This window comes from Homo sapiens, chromosome X, assembly GCF_000001405.40.
Source record: "Homo sapiens chromosome X, GRCh38.p14 Primary Assembly".
Classification (NCBI taxonomy): domain Eukaryota; kingdom Metazoa; phylum Chordata; class Mammalia; order Primates; family Hominidae; genus Homo; species Homo sapiens.
The window spans coordinates 29,552,361-29,574,055 of NC_000023.11; the positions used below are offsets into that span (position 1 = coordinate 29,552,361).

Sequence of the window (21,695 nt, forward strand, 5' to 3'; positions counted from 1 at the left end):
TTTTAACTTATTTTTCAGGAGACGCACATTTGTTTTTTTGTGCATGGGTACGTAGGTTTCTGTGATGATTTTACTAACTAAATGGGACAACTATATCGTTACATACCATGGTTTCACTCATTCTTTTAAAATTATTTTTACTACTCTAGTTAAATATAAATACCATAAAATTTGTTATTTTAACCATTTTAAAATGTATACTTCGGTGGCATTAGATACATTCACATTGTTGTGCAACAGTTTCACTCGTTTTACCAAATTGAATGTTTTGTCTACTGGCCAGGATTTATTGATTGTTGTAATGAAAATCTTTTCACTCATAGTTTAGCAATCCTTTTGTAAATGCCCTAAATCTGTATTTATTGTATAATTAAATACCTTAGCAAATACTTTTAAACTGAAAATCCCGGTGTACTAAGTTCATTCATGTTTTTCACTCTCCTTTTTTTTTTTTTTTTTTTTTTTTTGCATTTCAGTTTGGCAAGTTTCTATTGATTAAGTGTCAATAGACTTTTCTTGGTTGTGTCAAGCCTACTGATGAGCTCATCAAAGGCATTCTTTATTTCTGTCATAATGTATTTGATCTCTAGCATTTCCTTTTGAGTCTTTCTTAGAGCCTCTATCTCCTTTTAATTACTCATTTGTTCTTGAATCTTGCCTACTTTTTCCTATAGCCATCAACACATTAATCACACTTATTTTAAATTCTCTAGTAATTCCAACATCAATGTCATACCTGAGTCTGATTCTGATGCTCGCTTTGTCTTTTCAGACAATGTTTTATCTTTCTTTTTTGTGTGCCTTGCACTTTTTGTTGAAAGCCAGACATTTTGTCTTGGGTCATAGGAGCTGAATAGGCCTTTAGTGTTAGGATTTATGTTAATATGGCTAGGAGTTGGGCTGTATTTAATGATTTCTGTAGCTGTTAGGTGCCCATGGCTTCCGTTTCCTCTAGTGTGTTTGTTTTTAGCTTCCCAGTTTTCTTTTGTCTTCCCTAAGAAGTTTTTCTCAGATAGAGTCTGTAACTTTTGGTTCTTTCAGCTGTAATCCACTGTCATTATACTGGGGCCCCGTTAGTTTGGTTGTAGAGTGTTGAGGAGAGGAAGCATTCTATCATCATAAATTAAATCACAGTCTTTTAGTGGGCCTGTGTCCCTGGACTGTGAAACACACTCATAAACGTTTCTTAGCTTTTTGCTTCCCCTCTTAGGTGAGACAGGAAAACCAGAGGGAGCTGGAGTTGGGAAAATATTCTTCTTTCAGATGGGATAAGGCTCTGATAAAGCTTTTTCCTCCTGGAAAATAGGACTGTATTATGGAGAACACTCATACTCTGGGCATAGTTCACAATGTTTTCTCATCCTGTCCCCCTGCCAGAACCACCAGAGGATCAATCTTGGCTCTTCACTGTGAGAACAGGAGGGGTGGGGTTCTTAGAGGTAAAGTACAGATAACTGTAGAGGCCACCAGGAAATTTCTGACTCTCATACTAATCCACATTCAGTTTCCAGCAATTCATAAAAATTACGGTTTAAGGATTCTTACAAGTTTATGGATCCAGTGGCCTTTTTTTTTTTTTTATTCGAGGGAAACTAATTGCTGCTTTGACTCTGTATTTGCCTGTATCTCTGCATTTCAGTGTGGAAGTTTGCTTTGTGACCTCAATTTTCTGATGGATCCAAGAAAAGTCAATGATTTTTAGTTTCTTTGGCTTTTTCTTGTAAGCATGACTTCCTAGCTCTTTACATGTTGGAGCTCTTGGGTGGCCTTTTAAACTACTAACTAGTAGAATGGAATGCAGTAAAACCAACAAAAACGATGGAACAACAGAGCCTGGACCATTAATCGCGCCATCCAATCTAGAGTAGAAAAGACAATGTAAGTAAGGCAAGTGACCTTTTAGGTCCTAAAAGCAACTTTATCACCAGCCCCTGTAAACTTTTAGGAAAAAAAGATTCAAAATTATAATAAATAATATTCATACATATTTGAGTGAGATCAATGATCTGGCTTCTTAAATTCTTCATGGAATATCAATTTTGACATTTCTTTGGCTCATTTCCACAGTGGCTGAATCTGTTCTCAGTCAGAAAGGAAACTCGTATTTTCTTTTTTCAAACTTTGTAATTTTCCAACTTTCTAATGAAACATTGTAGGCCTTCATTAGAAAGATTACCTCAGACTAACTTACTGCTAGCCATGTCCTTCAACAGTGCACCTAAGATAATTTATTGAAGTATCTTCTCTCAGATGGCAAATGTTTCTTCATTCACTCTCTTAGCATTTTAAGTTCCACAGTAGGAGCTATGTAAGTCTCCTAAAGCCCACAATTTTTAGCCCTAAAGAGCATTAATGTCCCTCTAATATACAGTTGATCCATAATGGTGTGCCTTAAGCTTTCTTCAAAAATTGCCTCAAAAAAAAAATCAGTGATGTGAATCTGCACTTACTGTAATACTGTGGTAACTGGGAGTGGGCCATGTGTATACTCATGTACATAAACACACTACACATTCCTAGTTTAACTATTTGCTAACCCTGTCCATTGATTTTCACAGTATATTTTTTTCTCCTCTCAATAGTTTTTAAGGCTTCCTAAAATACAAATTGAAATAACCTTTTGCTGCAGATATTATGGAATCCAGGCAGGCCTGCAAGTCTGTGCAGAGTTTACTCTCTGGCAATAAGACTGAGAATCCCCTTTAACAGGCCCTGCCAGACCACCTGTTATATTTGAATAATTCACAAACAGCTTTTCCCATTAATTCATGCCAGGCCTCTAAATATAATCCAAAATAAGTCATGTTATAAGGCATTTGGATTAGAAATAAAGTCATTATAACCATATGCCTGCATTTATAAATGTACTTTTAGACAACATAGTACCATTCTAAATTTTCACCACAGGATCTGTTTGACCTACAGAGATATTTGGGTATCTCTAACTTAAGGAAAAAGGCCGTGAGGCAACCATTTTAAAATACTTACAGACAGTGAGTTTGAAGAACTTTGAACTTGTAGTCTCCTGATGCCTCACTGATACATCCATTTCAAGGCAGACAATTGCCTTCCTTAAGCCCAAAGTTAGAAAAAATGAACAGGACAGTTTTTCAGGTTTTGTCTCAATTCCTGTTCATGCACAGTGCAATTTTTGCCACACTATCCTCATCTCTTGAAGAGATGGCTAGCCATTTCTTCTGTGATGTCTCAAATGTGCTTCAAAGTTCATTGTAGCCCTTATAACACTGAAACCTACCTGTGTGCACATCTGTCTCTTTCAGTTCTTTAAATGGTATGAGAACATGTTAAGATTAGCTCTATAATGAGTCATTTCTGCATCCCTCAGATCCCTGGTATTGAACTTGACACGTAATTTGTATTTGGTGTGGTTATTCAGTGAGTAATTGACAAATTCAATGATCCATATTATGCATGTCACATTTTAGCTTCCCTTAAAGAAAAGTTTTTAGGAAAGGAAAAGAACACTGGGGAGGGGGGAAACAAAATTAACTTGGCCATGCTGAGAATTGCAGGAATGTGCACTATGCAAACAAGTTAAGTAAGCACAGTGTCTTCCTTACTTCCATCAGAGACCTTGCTTGGCTAAAAAGCAAGAGTGGAGCCCACTCTCTGTATTCATTTGCATAATTTGTTCACACTCTGCCTTAGCCACAGAAGTGGAAAGCCTTTCCTTTCCTGGTAGTCCCTAGGACATGTCATCTACCTCCCTCGTGAGTTGTAATATGGGGAGGACTGGAAGGCACAGCTTAGAGCCCCATGGTGTCCAGTCAGGGGAACATGGGGATAATGTGTCCATTCACTGACACTAGCGCTTTTCTCCAATATGGTTAACAGTCGAAATTTGATTAAAGCAAGTTAGGAAACTCCAGTAAGGCTAATTTTCTCTTGAACTATATATGGTGTCTGTTGGCAAGAAAACAAGAGTTACACATTTAAGTAGGTTAATATCAACTGAGAAACTCTTAAGAATCATAGTTTAAGATCAGGCCAGGCGTAGTGGCTCACGCCTGTAATCCCAGTACTTTGGGATGTTGAGGAGGATGGATTGCTCGAGGTCAGGAGTTGAGACCAGCCTAACCAACATAGTGAAACCCTGTCTCTACTAAAAATACAAAAATTAGCTGGGTGTGGTGTTGGGCACCTGTAATACCAATTACATGGGAGGCTGAGGCAGGAAAATCACTTGAACCCAGGAGGCGGAGGCTGCAGTGAGCTGAGATCGTGCCACTGCACTCCAGCCTGGGCAACAAAGCAAGACTCTGCCTCAAAAAAAAAAAAAAAAGAAAATCATAGTTTAAGATCAAAGTTGAATGTATATTGTGATGAGTCTACAGTGTGGGAACAACTTTTTGAAAAGTGTAATAGGTTTGAGAAAAATGGCTTAATTTAAAATATGTATTTTCTATTATATGTGCATGATTTTTATGAAGATATATTCTCAGAATTCTTTAAATTAGTGGTTCTCAATTCAGTCTATGTATCAGAATTGCTTGTGAAGCTTTCAATTAATACATATGGATACCTAAACCTAACCCTTGATTCTGATTCATTTAGTCTGGAGAAAGGTTGGACATTTTTTAGCAACTTTGTTTTTGATTTAGGATTGAATATCACTGCCCCAGGATTATGAAGAAATTCATCATCATCCTAAAAATATTATAGTACTTCAGCCCTTTATTATAGTCATTTTTCCATAAGTGGCAAATAATAAGAATCCAAAGAAACATGTTGTGTATGCGTGGGGCCATCTCGATACAGCTGATGACAATTAAGTTGTTGGCTGTCTGGTTTTAAAGATATTTGGAAAGACAATTCCTTTTATAAGAAAACCAAACAAATTCCAGCCAATGAATGGTCTTAGGCGGTCAAGAATTTTATTCTGGCTTACTGACATCCTCAAGATCTCAAGACACAGATTAGACTATGAGAAGACACAGTAAAATACTCCATCTTTATTCTTAGAGATTCTATTCTGAATCCCACTTTTTTCAGTTTTATTGAGATGTAGTGACAAAAAATTGTATGTATTTAAAGTGTACAACACGATGTTTCGATGTAAGCATACATTGTGAAGTGATTGCCATAATCAAGCCAATTAACATATTGATCATCTTACATAGTAGCCATATTTTGTGTGTGTGTGGTGAGAACACTTAAGATCTATTTTCTTAGCAAATTTCAGGTGCACAATACAGTATTATTAACTATAGTTACTAGCTGTACATTAAATTGAGATAACTTATTCATACTGCATCACTGAAACTTTGTACACTTTGATCAACATCTCCCCATTTTCCCTACTCTCAGCCACTGGTAACCTCCATTCTACTTTCTGCTCTTAGGAGTTTTAATTTTTAGATTCCAGATATAAGTGAGATTATGCAGTGTTTGTTTTTCTATGTTTGGCTTATTTTACTTAGCATAATGTCTTCCAGGTTAATCTGTGTTGTCACAAATGGCATGATATCCTTTTTTTTAAAAAAAAATGCTAAATAATATTTTATTGTGTGTGTGCATGTGTGTGTATATATATCATTTTCTTTACGCATTTATCTGTGAATGACACTTCTATTGTTTATGTATATTTGCTGTTGTGAATAATACTGTAATGAACATGGGAGTGCAGATATCTCTCCCAATCACTGATCTCATTTCCTTTGGATATACACCCAGAAGTAAGATGCTGAATCATATGATAATTCTATTTTTTCATTTTTTGAGGAACCTCCATTATGTTTTTTGTAATAGTTGTACAAATTTTCATTCCCACCATCAGTGCACAGAGGTCTCTATTCTCCACATCCTTGCCAATACTTCTTCTCTTTTCACATTTGATAATAGCCATTGTAACAGTTGTGCAGTGATATCTCATTGTGGTTTTATTTGCATTTCTCTGATGATTAGTGATATTGAGCACCTTTTCATCTACCTGTTGATCACTTGTATGTCTTCTTTTGAGAAACATATATTAAATTCTTTAGCCAATTTTAAGTAGGCTTATTTGTTGTTGTTGTTTGCTATTGAGTTGTTTGAGTTCCATATATATTTGGATATTAACCTTTTATCAGATGCATGGTTTGGAAATAAATTTTTCCTGTTTCATAGGTAGTCTCTTCACTCTGCTAATTGTTTCCTTTGCTATGCAGAAACATTTTAGTTTCACACAATCCCACCTGTTTATTTTTGCTCATGTTGCCTATATTTTTGGAGTTATGTCCAAAAAGTAATTACCCAGACCAATGTCAAAAAGCATTTCCCTTATGTTTTCTTCCAGTAGTTTTAAAGCTTCAGGTATTAAGTATTTAATCAATTTTGAGTTGGTTGTTGTATGTGGTGTAAGATAAGGGTCCAATTTTATTTTTTTGAGTGTGGATATACAATTTTCCCAGCATCACTTGTTGAACAGACTGCCCTTTCCCCATTGTTTCTTAGCATGCTTGTTGAAGATCAGTTGACTATAAATATGTGGATTTATTGCTGAGATCTTTATTGTGTTTCATTGCTCTGTATGTCTGTTTTTATGTCAGTATCATACTGTTTTGTTTACTATAGCCTTGTAGTGTATTTTGAGATCAGGAAATGTGATGCCTCCAAGTTTGTTCTTGCTCAAGGTTATTATGGCTATTCAAAGTCCTTTGTAGTTACATATGAATTTGGGGAAATGCTATTGCAAATTTGATAGGCATTACATTAAATCTGTATGTGGCTTTAGGTAGTATGGACATTTCAACAATATTAATTCTTCCAATTGATGAACATGGAATATCTTTCCACTTATTTGCGTCCCTGGAATAGATCCAACTCAGTCATGTTTTAATTTGCTGGTAAATTCAGTTTGCTAGTATTCTGTTGTGGAATTTTGCATCTATGTTCATTAGGAATTTTGGCCTGTACCTTTCTTTTCTTGTAGTGTATTTCTCTGGCTTTTGTATCAGGGTAAGGCTGGCCTTGTGAAATGATTTTGTAAGTATTACCCGCTTTTCAAGTTTTTGGAAAAGTTAACATTAACAAAAAATTGGCATTAATTCTTCTTTAAAAGTTTGGTAGAATTCCGCAGTGAAGCCATTTGATCCTGGGCTTTTCTTTATTGGAAGGTTTACTTTATTACTGATTCAGTCTCCTTACTTGTTAGTGTTCTGCTCAGATTCTGTATTTCTTAATGATTCAGTCTTGGTAGGCTATATGCTTTTAGGAATTTATTCATTCCTTCTGTTAGACAGTCTACTTTGTGATTTGACAATGTATTTTCAGTAGTATGCTTTGATTCCTTTCTCTTAGATTTTGTGTATCTACTAATTTTTTTTTTCATTGTGGTTACCATGAGGTTTACATAAAACATCTAATAGTTAGTTATGTCTATTTTAAGCTGACAACTTAATTTTGACTTTGTACAAAAGCTCTATACTTTTATTTCCACCTTTCACATTTTATGTAATTGATGTGACAATTTATATCTTTTTATATCATATATTCATTAAGAAATTATTAAGGCTCTAGTTATTTTTAAAACTTTTCTCTTTTAACTTTTATATTGGAGTTACAAGTGACTTATGCACCACTATTACAGTATTATTCTGAATTTGGCTATGTACTTACCTTTACCAGTGAGTTTTATATTTTTATATGTCTTGATGTTACTAACAAGTGTCCTTTTATTTATATTTGAATAAGTATTTTTCGCATTTCTTGTAAGGCAGGTGTTGTGATGATGAACTCCCTCAGCTTTTGTTTATCTTACAAAGTCTATCTCCTCTTCATTTCTGAAGAATTGCTTTGCTGGCATAGTATTCTTGGTTGACATTTTTTTCCTCTTGTACTCCGGATATATAATCCCATTCTCTTATGGCCTGGAAGGTTTCTGCTGAGAAATCTGCTGATAGCCTTATAAAGAATCCCTAGTATGTGATGAATCATTTCCCCTTATTACTTTCAAAATTCTTTGACTTTTGATAATTTGATTATAATGTCTTGATGTAATCTTTGAGTTTTTGTATTTGTGTACTTTTGAGCTTCATGAATCTAAATATCTATATCTATCTCAATATTTGGGAAGTTTTCAACAATTATTTCTTTAAATAAACTTTCTGCCCCTTTCTATATCTTTCTGGAACTCCCGTAGTGAATGTATCGGTTCTCTTCATGGGAAGCTCTAAATTCTGTAGGCCTTCTGTACTATTTTTTATTTCTATGTTTGTTTCTCCTCTGACTGTGTAATTTCAAATAATCTTTCTTAAGTTCTTATATATTTTCTTCTGCTTTATCACGTCTGCTATTTATGCTGTTCATTGTATTCATTATATTCTTCAGCTCCAGAATTTCTATTTGGTTCTTTTTTTATGATTTCCATATTCATTGAACTTTTTTTGTGAATTGTTTTTCTGATTTTGTTCATTTGCCTATCTGTGTTAGTTTGTACCTCACTGAGCTTTTTGTAAAGAGTTACTTTGAATTATTTGTCAGGCAGTTCTTAGATCTTTATTTATTTGGTGTCAGTTACTACCAAAATTGTGAGTTGTTTTTGTTGTGTTATGTTTCCTTGATTTTTCATGTTCCTTGGAGTTTTGCATTGCTGCCCTCACATGTGAACAAGGAGTCACCTCCTCCTTCAATCCTTACTAACTGACTTCAGGATACAAAGACTTTCATTAGTCAGCCTGACATTCTAGGGGTCTCGCAGACCTTTACTATGGATACACCTGCCCCACTCCTCTTGTTTCCTCTTCAAGAAGAAGCTTTATGTTTGAATGTCTTCTCTTGATCCTGCAAAGCCAGGCTGGGTGCTGACTGCCTCTCTTTTGTTTTTCCTAGGGCATTGCCCTGAAGTACTCAAAGTTAATTGCCTTCTCCCAGTCCCAGAGAGTTAAGCCAGATGTCTGTGTGTGCTTGTGCATGATTTGCAGAGGCTATGGGTAGGGATGGACAGAAGGGCATGCAGAGTGCTTGGAGACACATACGAGAAAGTTAAATGGGTCCACAAGTGTTGCATCTTTTGATGTTCATGGGCAGGGTTCATGGAGTTCATGATGCAATGAGTAGAAACAATGGCCCTTTGTTTAGTTCTTTACTGAAGTTGCTGTGAGCTCTCACCCCTTTTCCCTGTTCTTAGCTTTCCCAAGACTATTCAACTGAGCCAGTTTCTTCTGTGTTATGGGTGAAGTGAGATAAAAGTAGGCCTCTTGGGCAACATTCTGACTAGCTATGCTTTCACTTTCCCCTGTGAAACAAATCGTGGGCCAAGAATGTCTCTCTTGGCACTGAGCTGTGTGCTGCCTTGGGAAAGGGGTGATGCAAGTAAAATGAAACTGTTTTCCTTACCCTCTTCAAGGTAATCGTGGATCATTTTTTTCTCCCATGGTGCGTTGGGACCTCTCCCCTGGTCCCTGGGCTCTACCTAATATACTTTTGTCTGTGGGTAGTTGTCAAAATTGGTGTTGCTATGGGGATAAGAACTGAAAACTCTTATCCCACCATCTTTCTAATGTCACTCTTCTCTGAATGGATTACATTAGAAAAGAACAAGGTGTTCACCTTCTTTAATGATGTAGTTACAAGGAATCTACCTCTGGGAGAGACAGTTATGTTTTCATAAATCCTAAGGCAAAACATTAGATATGAATTCTTTTTATTTTTATATTTTCTTTTTCTTTTTCAATTCTATCTATCTATCTATCTATCTATCTATCTATCTATCTATCTATCTAATCTATCTGTCTATCTATCTATCTATCTATCTAATCTATCTATCTATCTATCTATCTATCTATCTATCTATCTATCTATCTATCTATCTATCTATCTAGTAGAGACAGGGTCTTACTGTGTTGCCCAGGCTGGTCTCAAACTCCTGGGCTCAAGTGATCCTCCCACCTCAGCCTCACAAAATGCTGCCACCATGCTCAGCCAGATATGAGTTCTTTTTCTAAAGGAAGGGTTTATTTAAAAGGAGTCATAGACCATCACTGGATTCTAGTTTCCTGAGAGACATAGAGGGTACTCTGGCATTGAAGAGAGACACTAGAAGGATGGACATTTTTGGAATGTTTAACAAGTCTCTCACTTTACAGCATCAGCAGCAGAGAGTGTTAAGCTTGAAAAAATAAGAAAAAAGTATAAAATTATGATCTTAGTGAATTAATGACATATTGCCAAGACTTAGGCCATCATTTATATATTAACATTAATGGGATGTGAATGTTTATAATAAAAGACAAAAAGATGAGCTTAAAGAAATTAGACCTATTACCCAAACATAAATATTTACTTTTACATGTTGTCAGAGAGTATTTGTACCTGTCATATTGCTGTTTTGCAAATTAGAGAGTTAAATTGACTCCTTTTTATAGATATTCTATTTCCGTCCTAAAACTCTTTCCATCACTAAATCTCTCACTAAACTTTGTGGTGTTACATAATCCTCACTTTCTAGTTAGTGGCAATCATAAAAACAGATAAAAAGGCTTTCATTATTAGGAGTGGCATGGATGAAGTAGTTGATACTATTGGCAAGATAGAACATGACAAAGAGAGCATGACCATTATGACTTATGCATTAAGTGAGGTGTTTTGGGCTCTTTCTGGCTATGCACCATATGGTAAGGAAATGATATCTCTGTCAGGATAGACTAGATTGTAATGCAGTAACAAATGACCCTACTTAAAAAAAATTATTGTTATTTGAATATTTGCAAAATTTAAGGATCATGACATCATGATGAACATCTATAGAAATACATAGCTCTCTACCTAAGTACAAAATAGAGATATAGAGATAAAGTACAACTGATTCAGATAGTTAAATTATTATGCTATTATTTAATGTTCTCATGTGCAGTTTTATGTATTCCAGATAATCTTTCTAAATAACTTATGTAGACATTTATATTTTGGTCAGTCTATTTTTTTATTTCCAAGTAATTTAATTTTTGTCCCAATTGAATTTTAAGAATAGAGCTAAATTAAAACTGTTACTCAGAGCTTTTTATTCACTTTTATGTTAATAAAGGGTTCCTTAGAGATGATATACCTAGTTTTCTGTAAGTGGTTTTTATTTTCTTGGTAATCTACAAGTCAGATTTTAGGCAACACCTGTTGAAAAAAGGTTAGGGCACCATTTACATGTTTTTCAAATTGTAAAGTTCTAATGCAGGTTTCTGCAGTTAGAATATTCATGACACAAACTGTTTCAAATACAACTTAAATTGAGATTCAGGTTTAAATGTTGATTTATGAAAGTTCTTCTTTAATGAAACTTGTTTTTATGAGATCTCTGAATTGCAAGAAGTAGGACTTCAGCTTTGGAACTGAAATAGCTCTTGGCTATTTGTTTTAATCACTTTCCACACAAACCTCACTTCTGAACGGTCATCTTATTTAGAGTTATTATCAACTTACTTGCCTTAGTGCTGACATTGTTGATGGATTCGAAGAAGTGAAATTGGCAATCCTGTATCTAATGCTAGTGTCTTTGGAACAACAAAAGGAGTTTCAAAGGGAGGCTGAAATTGAACACTTAATATTATAAATCATGATATATGTATTTTTTTGTTTTGTCTTGTCTTTTACTTTGGAGAGGGGTTTCTTTACTGCATGGACAGTTGTATTCATTAAATATATAGAAAGGTCATGGCTTTCCTAAAACTTTGGGCTGTTCTTTAAAAATTAATCTTATTCTCATCAGGAGTTTGTCACTTCTAAACTGATCTGAGTTAATTTATTGGAACTGTGAGTAAGAGACATTACATAATTTGGGCACAAGGAGAGAATCTGTGTCCTGGAACTTGCTGATGGCACCTTCAAAGGTGACCCAGTTGACCAGAAAGTGTTGATTTCCACTTTGTAATTTTAAAAATATATGACAATCAAAGGGCATTTCATGACCCAGGAGGGAGTGGAAGTAGCAAATAAGCATGATTATTGCAAAAGCTTACTAGATTGAGTAGAAGGAATATGCACTGCTGTCAAAAAGTTGCAATGTAAAATAGTCAAAACTTTTTCTATGGCTCTGATGATAGCAATCAACAAAATGAGGAAAATGATGTGGCAGGATTCAGAATCTGACTAAGGAGTACTAACAGAGAAAATTATCATGTTCTTGGCTTTAGAGACAAATAAATGGGCCATGTGGGCCCAATCTTTTGTAACTTAAAAAATGGGAAAAGCTACGGGAGAGTTAACGTTACCATTTTATGCCTTAAGTGAGATGTTTTGGGCTCTTTCTGGCTACAAGGTTTGGAACCACAATTGGATTAATGGTAGTTGGCTTTAATGGTCCGTGGGAAGCTAAAGGTTACAGGCAATCATTTCATCAGCCTCCTGGCTGGCCTCAATGGAAATAAAATTGTCAGACTGTAACTTTAAGGAGGCTGAGTTAGCAAATATATTAATTTCCTATTGTTGTTGTTATAAATTATTACAAATTTAGTGGCTTAAAACAACACAAATATATTATGTCACGGTTCTATAAGTCAGAAGTTCACCATGGGTCTCACTGGGCTAAATCAAGGTATCCACAGGAGGCTGCAGGAAACACGTTTCTTTGCCTTTTCAGGCTTCTAGAAACTCCGTGCATTCCTTGGCTCATGGCCCCTTTTTCCATCTTCCAAGTAGCAGTATAGCATTACCACAACTACTTCACTGACTCTGCTTCTGTGGTCATACTGCCTTCTCTCGTCTGTAACCTGACCCTCATGCATCCCTCTTTTCATTTACTGAAAAAGCAATGACTGTGACATGACTAAATAAAGAAAATTTATCATATTTCTTAAAATAATGTATCAAAATAATTGTATTTATCAAAATGACAGCAAATTAAAAATTTAAAAAGAAAACAGATAACAAATCAATACGCAGGGTATGAAATTACTCCAGATGAAATGAATGGACAAGTGATTAGAAAATAATTATATTCATGGTTGCTCAAGATATAAAGAGATAGCAGTTACTAAAAAAAAAAAACACAAACATTTAGAGTCGCTAAAAATCTCAAAAGAACACAACTAGTGAGTGTGTAAAAGAAATTCTAGTCAATATGTATAAAACAAAAGATCACTATTCGGAATATGCAGATACCTCTTATTTATTAATAATGAACAAATGACCTAATAGAAAAATGGAGAAAATATTTAAGCAGATAATCAAAGCAGCCAATAAGCACATGTAGTTTTTCAGCTTCACTGTTAATCATGAAAATGTCAATTAAATATATATGTACTATTTTCTACTCACCAGATTGCGTAAATTCTAAATTGTCAGACAATTGAAAGGTTGATGAAAAATGGCTACAATTTTGCATATTGATTAAATCTAAAAACTAATCACCCAGAAATTAAAACTTTTGGTATTTACCCTTGAGAAATACTAATACATGTATATAAAAAGACGTGCACAGAGATATTATTTATTTTTATGGTTGTTTGTGGTAGGGAAAAATTAACATCAAAACAAACATAAAGGCCATCAAAATGGAGTAAATAAATAAAATGTGGTAAGACATGTAATGAAGAAATACTATTCTGAAATTAAATGAAATGCACTAAATGTATGTTTCAATATGTGGGGAAATTTTTTGTTGTTGTTTTTTTTTTTTGAGACGGAGTCTCGCTCTGTCGCCCAGGCTAGAGTGCAGCGTCGCGATTTCGGCTCACTGCAAGCTCTGCCTCCCGGGTTCACGCCATTCTCCTGCCTCAGCCTCCCGAGTAGCTGGGACTACAGGCGTCCGCCACCACACCCGGCTAATTTTTTGTAGAGACGGGGTTTCACCGTGTTAGCCAGGATGGTCTCGATCTCCTGACCTCGTGATCCACCCACCTTGGCCTCCCAAAGTGCTGGGATTACAGGTGCGAGCCACCGCGCCCGGCCCATGTGGGGAAATTTAAAAAAGATAGTGAGTAAATGATATGAAATATTTATGTAAACTAAAGCACAGCCTTTCTGTAGCCAGCTAGGTGGTCCGCACCTATAATCCCAGTTATTTGGGAGGCTGAGACCAGAAGATAACTTGAGTCTAGGAGTTTGAAGCCACCTTGGGCAACATAGTGAAACTCCATCTCATAAAAAAAAAATTAAAACACAAAATAACACTAGATAATTTGATTGGCTACATATTCATATGTTCAGAAGTTTGAAAACTAATTGAGGGATAAATAGCAAATTTCTAATAGTGTTTACACCAGTGTAGACGAGGAGTGGATCATCAAAGGAGGTGAGGATAGAAGAGAGCCTGGCTAGATGAGTGATATCTCTAATTATTTTCTGTCGAAATATACCTGTATTCATATTTTCAGTAGTTTGTGAAGTATGCACATGGGGGGAAATGTGTTTATGAGTAAACTAAATAAAGTATAAAAAGTGGTTAATTCTGGAAGCTAGCAATATAGGTTATTAATATTATTTCTTTTTTATGTGTTTTCTAAGTTTGTAAATATTTTATCAGGATAATTATACCAAAAAAAGTAGTTTTAAAAAACAGTGCAGCAGATTAACTTCAGAACATACAGAGCCACTGGGCAAATTCCTGAGCAGAGGAATTTATATCAAAAGCAGGATACAGAGGCAAAGAGATCTTAAAAAGACAGTTAAGAGATGAGTATAGCTTTTGAAGCTCCAACATAGATCTAACTGATTATTCATAAGAAATTAATAAAGAGAATAAAAAGAAGGAATATTTGAATTGATAATGTCAAATAATTTTTCAGAACTGAAAAATAAGAGTAGAGTCCACTGTTTAAAAGTATGCATTGAATGCCCAGTATGATAAGTAAAAATAAATCCACCTATAGAAATCAAGGTTAATGAGAACATCTTATTAGATACCAGAAAGAAAAGACAGACTACCTACAAAAAAAAAAAGACAATTAGAATGACACCAAGCTTCTCGTTAGCAAGGAGAGATGCCAGAAAACAACTGAGGATAAAATATTTCAACCTTAAATTCTATGCCTACCTAAACAATTGTTAAGAAGACAAAATAAATAAATTTTCTGATGTTGACTAACTAAGACAACTTCTGTCCATAAATTTAGTGGAGAGGAAGGTTTTTTAAAGCACCAGCAAATGTGAAACCAAAAGACAAAAATAGGATTCATGTAACAATGCATTTTTTCTTCCTCCTCTCGAAAAGAAGTTAAAACTTCTATATTACAGTCAATTGAATTTCCAGTAATTTTCCTTTTGAGAACAAATAAAGTAAGGAAAATCTTTACATTTTGCCTCCTGTTTCTTGATAAAATGTTAGGAAAAGTCAAAATAAGTCGAATATTTGATGAAATTGATGCAGTTCATGTCAGTATGCAGTAATTGGAAGCCTTGGAACCCTATGTAGGCTGACATAGAAAGCAATGTAAAAATGGCACGTGAATTTTCTTTCTTCTTTCTAAAAAGAAGAGCTAGATTTTTAGATAGGAATACAAATGCTTCATTTGTTCATAGGTTATCAAGATTTTCTTTCATTTGAAGTTTTGTTTGGCAGACATCTTCCTTTGAAAATGGGAGACTTGTGGAGGTTTCAAAGGGACTTGTGAGGAAAAAGTTTTGGACAGAACCAGAAACTGGCTGGATTGAGAGACAACATTTTTATACAAATGCACATTGAAAGGGAATGAAATAACCCTTAATTCCAACATGATCTGTTTCAGATTACTAAAGGAAATATATTATATTGTATGGTATATAATGAGCACTCAACAATTTTATGTTGAACTAGTAGCAATTATCTTGTGCTCCCGACCCACTAAGCTTATTTAAAGATCAAGAATAACAGATTATTCTTGATTTAAAGATCAAGAATAACAGATTATTCTTGATTTAAAGATCAAGAATAACAGATTATTCTTGATTTAAAGATCAAGAATAACAGATTATTCTTGATTTAAAGATCAAGAATAACAGATTATTCTTGATTTAAAGATCAAGAATAACAGATTATTCTTGATTTAAAGATCAAGAATAACAGATTATTCATTAGATTATTTATGTACTAGATAATTAATTCAGTTTAATATAAGAATAATGAAATAGATTAAAAGAGAGCCATGCATGGGTTAATGATATTAAAATGTCACAAACGAATAATTATACCAATTGTGTACACAGGAGCTTTTTGAGAAAAAAGTAGCGGATTTTATGTTCTGTTGAAAACTGTAAAGTTCTATATAAATGTTATTTCAACAGCATTGAAATGGTGATTTTCTGAGAAAATTTTCTGTACTAGTTTAACTAAATTATACATGGAGATCAAATGAATTCTCAAGTGGGCCTATTTATTTTGAATCAGGAATTATATAAAATATGGAGGACATTATTAAGAAAAATAGCATTTAAGACTAGGCCTAATTAATATTTTCAATGAGGGTAATTTCATAGGATTGAAGAGAGAATAGGATTTTTATAACTGAATATGGTATAATAGAGACCAAGAGTTTTCTGGTCATTCATTACCAAGAAAATTTTAATTATGTGGAAAAAAGCAAAAGAACAAGAAAGTCAAGAGGATCTGAAGCAGAGTATTTATCCAGCCCAGTGTCACTTGATTAAAATAGAGATGTTGTAGTCCTTTAGAATGTCCATAGAGACAACTGAAACTGACCTTTAAAAAGTGTTGACTATAGGTTTTGTTGTTACTGAGCTTTGATAGCCACTTTAAATCCCTTCTGATGCAATTTATGCCCTCCCTTCTTTATCAAAAAGGAAAAAAATTGTTTAGTAGATAATATGGAAATATGCCTCATTTCTCTACAGTCTAGCACCACTGAACTAGAAAATATAAGGCATTTATATTTTCTAGTTTGGTGATTTCGACCATTGAAGTGTTCTTCATTCCACGCTTTGGAATGGAAACTTGAAAATGATGTAGGAATATAGTATAAACATTCTGACTAGAGTATGATTGAAAAAAATGTAACTAGAGTGGTTTTCTCTTTTCTGTAGACTGTTCTTTCAGTGCACCTCTTAATATGATTATGGCTCCAATCTCAGAGAGCCTGAGAAACTTGCCCAAGTCCACATGGCTAGAACATAACATGATTCATTCAGGGTATATTAACAATAAGGTTTATTTTCGGGTTAAGAATAAGAAAATGCCTTATATTTTTTGAGTGTTCGTTTAAAGTCCACAGTCAAAAAATATTATATGACTTCATCAAGGCCTAACTCTCTTCACTTTATCACATTGCTTCAACAATAGACTGTTAAGGCAGTGGAATAATCTGGGATGATTAATTTTCTTGTAATCATTGAGGACCATGAATAAAATTGCAAAAAAAAAAAACAACTGCCATTTTTTCCATTTATATTTTTAATTAGAAAGCAGGCATTTAATGAGAAAAATTCACGTTTGCCTTGCAACTACTTATGGTCGCGTTAAAATGTCTATCAATGTAGGATAAATGGAAACATGTTAAGATTTGATTATTAAGCTTTGCTTAATTAATATATTTCCAGGAAAATATCAGACTACTGATTTGGGCTACAAATAACACTGCCTGGTTTTTTGTAGCCAGGTAGTGTTATTTGCAGCTGAAATCAGTAAGTTTGTAATTTAGAACCTGTTAGCCTAATAAATCATCATGTGTTACTATGAATATGTGAAGGCATTTAACTAAAGTCTAAGTATGATCCATCATATGGAAATACGTGAAGGCATTTCCAGTCTTTAGTAAGGACATGGCAATGTCACTATCATATAGAACAGTGGAATGGCTATTATTTGCCTCATCAGACGGATGCATTCTTAATAAAAGATAAATTAGATTGAACCCATAAGCGGATGTCAGGAACTGTGAGATTTACATTTTAGAAACATTTCCTAGAAATATCATGGGAAAACTTATCAAATGGATTTTTATTATCAAAAATAGCTGAGAATTGTTCGTACATCTACATATGCTCATGTTCCTTAATTCTAAATTTGCTTCAGAAACAAGTCAGTAATTTAAATGACAAATAAAACATTGGAAAAATATTTTCAATGCATATAAGCTAATTTTTATTTTAATACCAATAGACATTACATGCTTTCTTAGAAAAAGAACTGAATGTGAAAACGAAACAGTTTAATCTCTGCTCTGATATCACGCATTTCACTGGTGAGTCTACTATTTTTTTCTCATACATTACTACTTAAAAGTATGGGAGTTTGATAAATTCAACAAAATACCTTTTATTGTAGCCTTAGGTGGCTTCCTTTGTTTTCTCAGTTAAGAAGAGGACATTAATGAGTATGAAAACATCTAAGATTGTTGCTTTATTTACTAAATGCTGGGCTGATTAAATAGTAAGTCTGCCAAAGATCACAGCCTTGAACAAAAGGCATAGATGCATATCACAGAGTACCAGGAGGGGATTCCATTCCTATTCCATTTGAGTCTCCCCTGACAAATGATACTGAGCACTACGTTACATTGATTCACTTGCCCACAAAAGGTTGTGATAAGAGTGTCTAATCTTTATGCTTGAATTGCCTTATTGTACTTGTAGAAATGAAAGCAGAAGAAAATATATGGAAAACAGATTGTGTATCTTATTTGTCTTCTGTCCAAAGGATACATTTAAAATAATTTGTCTAGCCAGGCGCGGTGGCTCACGCCTGTAATCCCAGCACTCTGGGAGGCCGAGGCGGGTGGATCACGAGGTCAGCAGATCGAGACCATCCTGGCTAATACAGTGAAACCCCGTCTCTACCAAAAAATACAAAAAATTAGCCAGACGTGGTGGCGGGCGCCTATAGTCCCAGCTACTCAGGAGGCTGAGGCAGGAGAATGGCGTGAACCCAGGAGGTGGAGCTTGCAGTGAGCCGAGATCGCGCCACTGCATTCCAGCCTGGGTGACAGAGTGAAGACTCCGTCTCAAAATAATAATAATAATAATAATTTGTCTAAACAGAGTTCTTTCTTCAGTGTGCTCTTCACATTTTAATGCTGATTTGAAGCCTGTAACCATTAAAATTAAAATGGAAAGATTATACTTTAAGAGTAGAATCCTCAAATGCATATAGAAGTATAAACCTAATGCCCTTTAGCAAAGTCTAGGAGGCATCAAGATAAGATTAGTTCCTAGTAGTTACTCTTTGTTAATTAACTCCCTGAAGAAACCTGAGAACATTTGATATTAAAGAAAATATAGTAGTTCATTTTCAGATAGATTGAAGTTTTCCTTGCTCTTCTAATAGATGTCTTCCTAATATAGTTTCCATAATCTCTAAATATCATACCCTGCTTTTATTCTCTTGTATATTTCCCCTCCCATATATAAAGTATATAATGTACTGAGAAACATAGAAATAATTGCAATATACAATATTCCTAGTTACATTTCAGTAATTGTTTTGTGGCATACAGTTACATATTCTTTCTGGGAGAGTGTGATGAAGGATATAGATGAAAGATTGGTCATTTCAGTGCCAAATCATCTTAGACTTTATGTCCCTTCCTCCCTACAATGTCACCATCCTCTGTAACGCTTTTCTCAGAATTGAGACTCCCTGAAGGTCTTAGAGTTTAACGATGCCCTTTTTGTCCATTAGTTTATTTAATAAATGATTATTGAGCAACTATATGGCAAGTACTGTTCTTGATTGTAAAATCTGGCAAGGACCTTTAAGGTCCTCCCAGGGTCTTTTATCTTATAAGTTGTCAAAAAGGCTTAGTAGTAATTATTTTATTTGAGTTCACATAAGGATATTACAAGGTTAAGACTTTTATCGTGACAAAAGTTTTTGTGTTTTATTTTTCGTGTCTCTAGTTATTTTTGTTTCATTTTTATTCTCAAACCAGTTTTGAATCAAGGGATTTTATTTTTGTCCAGCATTTCACTTTAAGACAGTTAGAGTTTCTTACAATTCCTGTGCTCATGAATGAAAATTAAAGCATATAATCATTCAACTAAAGCGTATTGCTTGTCATCTTAAAACCTATTTTAGGATGTGAAGTATTATTTATTGAAATTTTAAGTTAGCAGTGTTTGACGTAGTTTGTATCAGATACTCTCCAAAGTCATTTTCTGATTAATGGAGACCATTTAAATATATAAATAACTGATACAGAATGAATAGCACTGGCTATTACAATTTCTTTGTCTTTAAATTCACAGGAGAATGGTGTTGCCTAAGAATTGTTGGCATTTTTTAATGAAAATTTGTTTATACATTTACATAATAAAATTAAAACCCTTTTTCAAAGGCACTTGACATTTAGAGGCATTGTTTAAAAATATTTTCCAGCATCTTCTAGATTTTACACCAAGTGAATGTTCTGTTTAAAAATGGTTCTATGGTCAAACAAGTTTATGGAATGATGCCTGCTTATTCTCCCTGTAGAAATTCATAATGCCCATTTCTGTATCAGAAAAATCTTAGAGAATCTTGCTTATCTTTATGTTTCCCTTTAGAAAATGAAAACTATTTCAAACATTTTATTAGTATGTAGAAAATACTATGACAGCAGAAGTATTTTATCAGTCTTTAAATTTTTCCCAAATAGCAATACATTCCAGTTGCATGCAAATGTAAATACCTTCTCTCAATTGCCTGAAATTAATACATTAAAATAACAGAAAAATAGTGTTATCTTAGTCTGTTTGGGCTGCTATAACAAAATACTTTAGACTTGTAATTTACAAACAATAGGAATTTATTTCTCACAGTTCTAGATGCTGGGAAGTCCAAGATCAAGGCACCAGCAATATCAGTGTCTGGTGAGAGCTCTCTGCTTCATAGATGGTGGCTTGTTGCTGTGTCCTCACATCATGGAAGGACAAACAAACTCTCTCAGGCTTCCTTTATAAGGGCATTAATCCCATTCAGGAGGGTTCCACCCTCATGATATAGTCACTTCACAAAGGCCCCACCTATTAATACATTTGGGATTGCATTTCAACATATAAATCATTGAGGGACACAACATTCAGACCATAACAAGAATAAGCTTGGATTTGGAAAGAATTTGAAAAGGAAAGTAGGAATACAATTGACTTTCCCAAGTTCATAGGTAGTAACAAAGAATGAGCAATAATCAAGATGCCTTTGTTCTTATCTTTCCCCAACTCAAATAAGTTATATATAAAAATTCATTTCTTACTAGGTCCATTATACTTGTCTATCTCTTGAAAACTTGAGTGTCCTAATGAAATGAGACTTCTATTTTGTAAGATGAGAGAAAGGTGAGGCAAATATTCTGAGGCACCTTCTAGACTGCAGAGCAACATGCACTGAGTTTTTTGAAAGATTTACCAGTTTTAAAAAATAAATGCTGTCTTGTTCTTCATCATCCTCCCATCACTGGCATATCTTGGTAAAAGTGAGATGTTATCAGTGAGAGCCCTTTAGGTAGATCCTCGTAAAAGTTACCATTTTGAGAATTGTATTTATGATTGTTGGTGTGTTAACAAAATCATGTTGCAAGAGAAATGGACTTTTGGCTAACTGCCTAGCTCTATTATCCTAGAAACTAGTTAAATGGTATATGTCAACTATTTTATGATAAAAATGTCCCCCGTGGATGGATGAGATGTATCTAGGTTGGAAGAACCATAAATACTTGAGAAGAAGTCACAGCTTTGGGTGTTCCTAGGTGCAGGGACTCTTGATATGGGGCATATCCCTTGAAGGTCTTTGGAAGCTGTATTAGTCCATTCTCACATTGCTATAAAGAACTACCTGAGACTGGGTAATTTATAAAGAAAAG

The 21,695-nt window shown here is 34.4% G+C and overlaps 1 protein-coding gene across 3 annotated transcripts in view; it reads left to right on the forward strand.

The window, feature by feature from the left end:
• IL1RAPL1 (interleukin 1 receptor accessory protein like 1) overlaps positions 1–21,695 on the forward strand; it is a 1,369,273-nt gene that overhangs the window by 964,915 nt on the left and 382,663 nt on the right. The gene's annotated exons all lie outside the window — the stretch shown is intronic.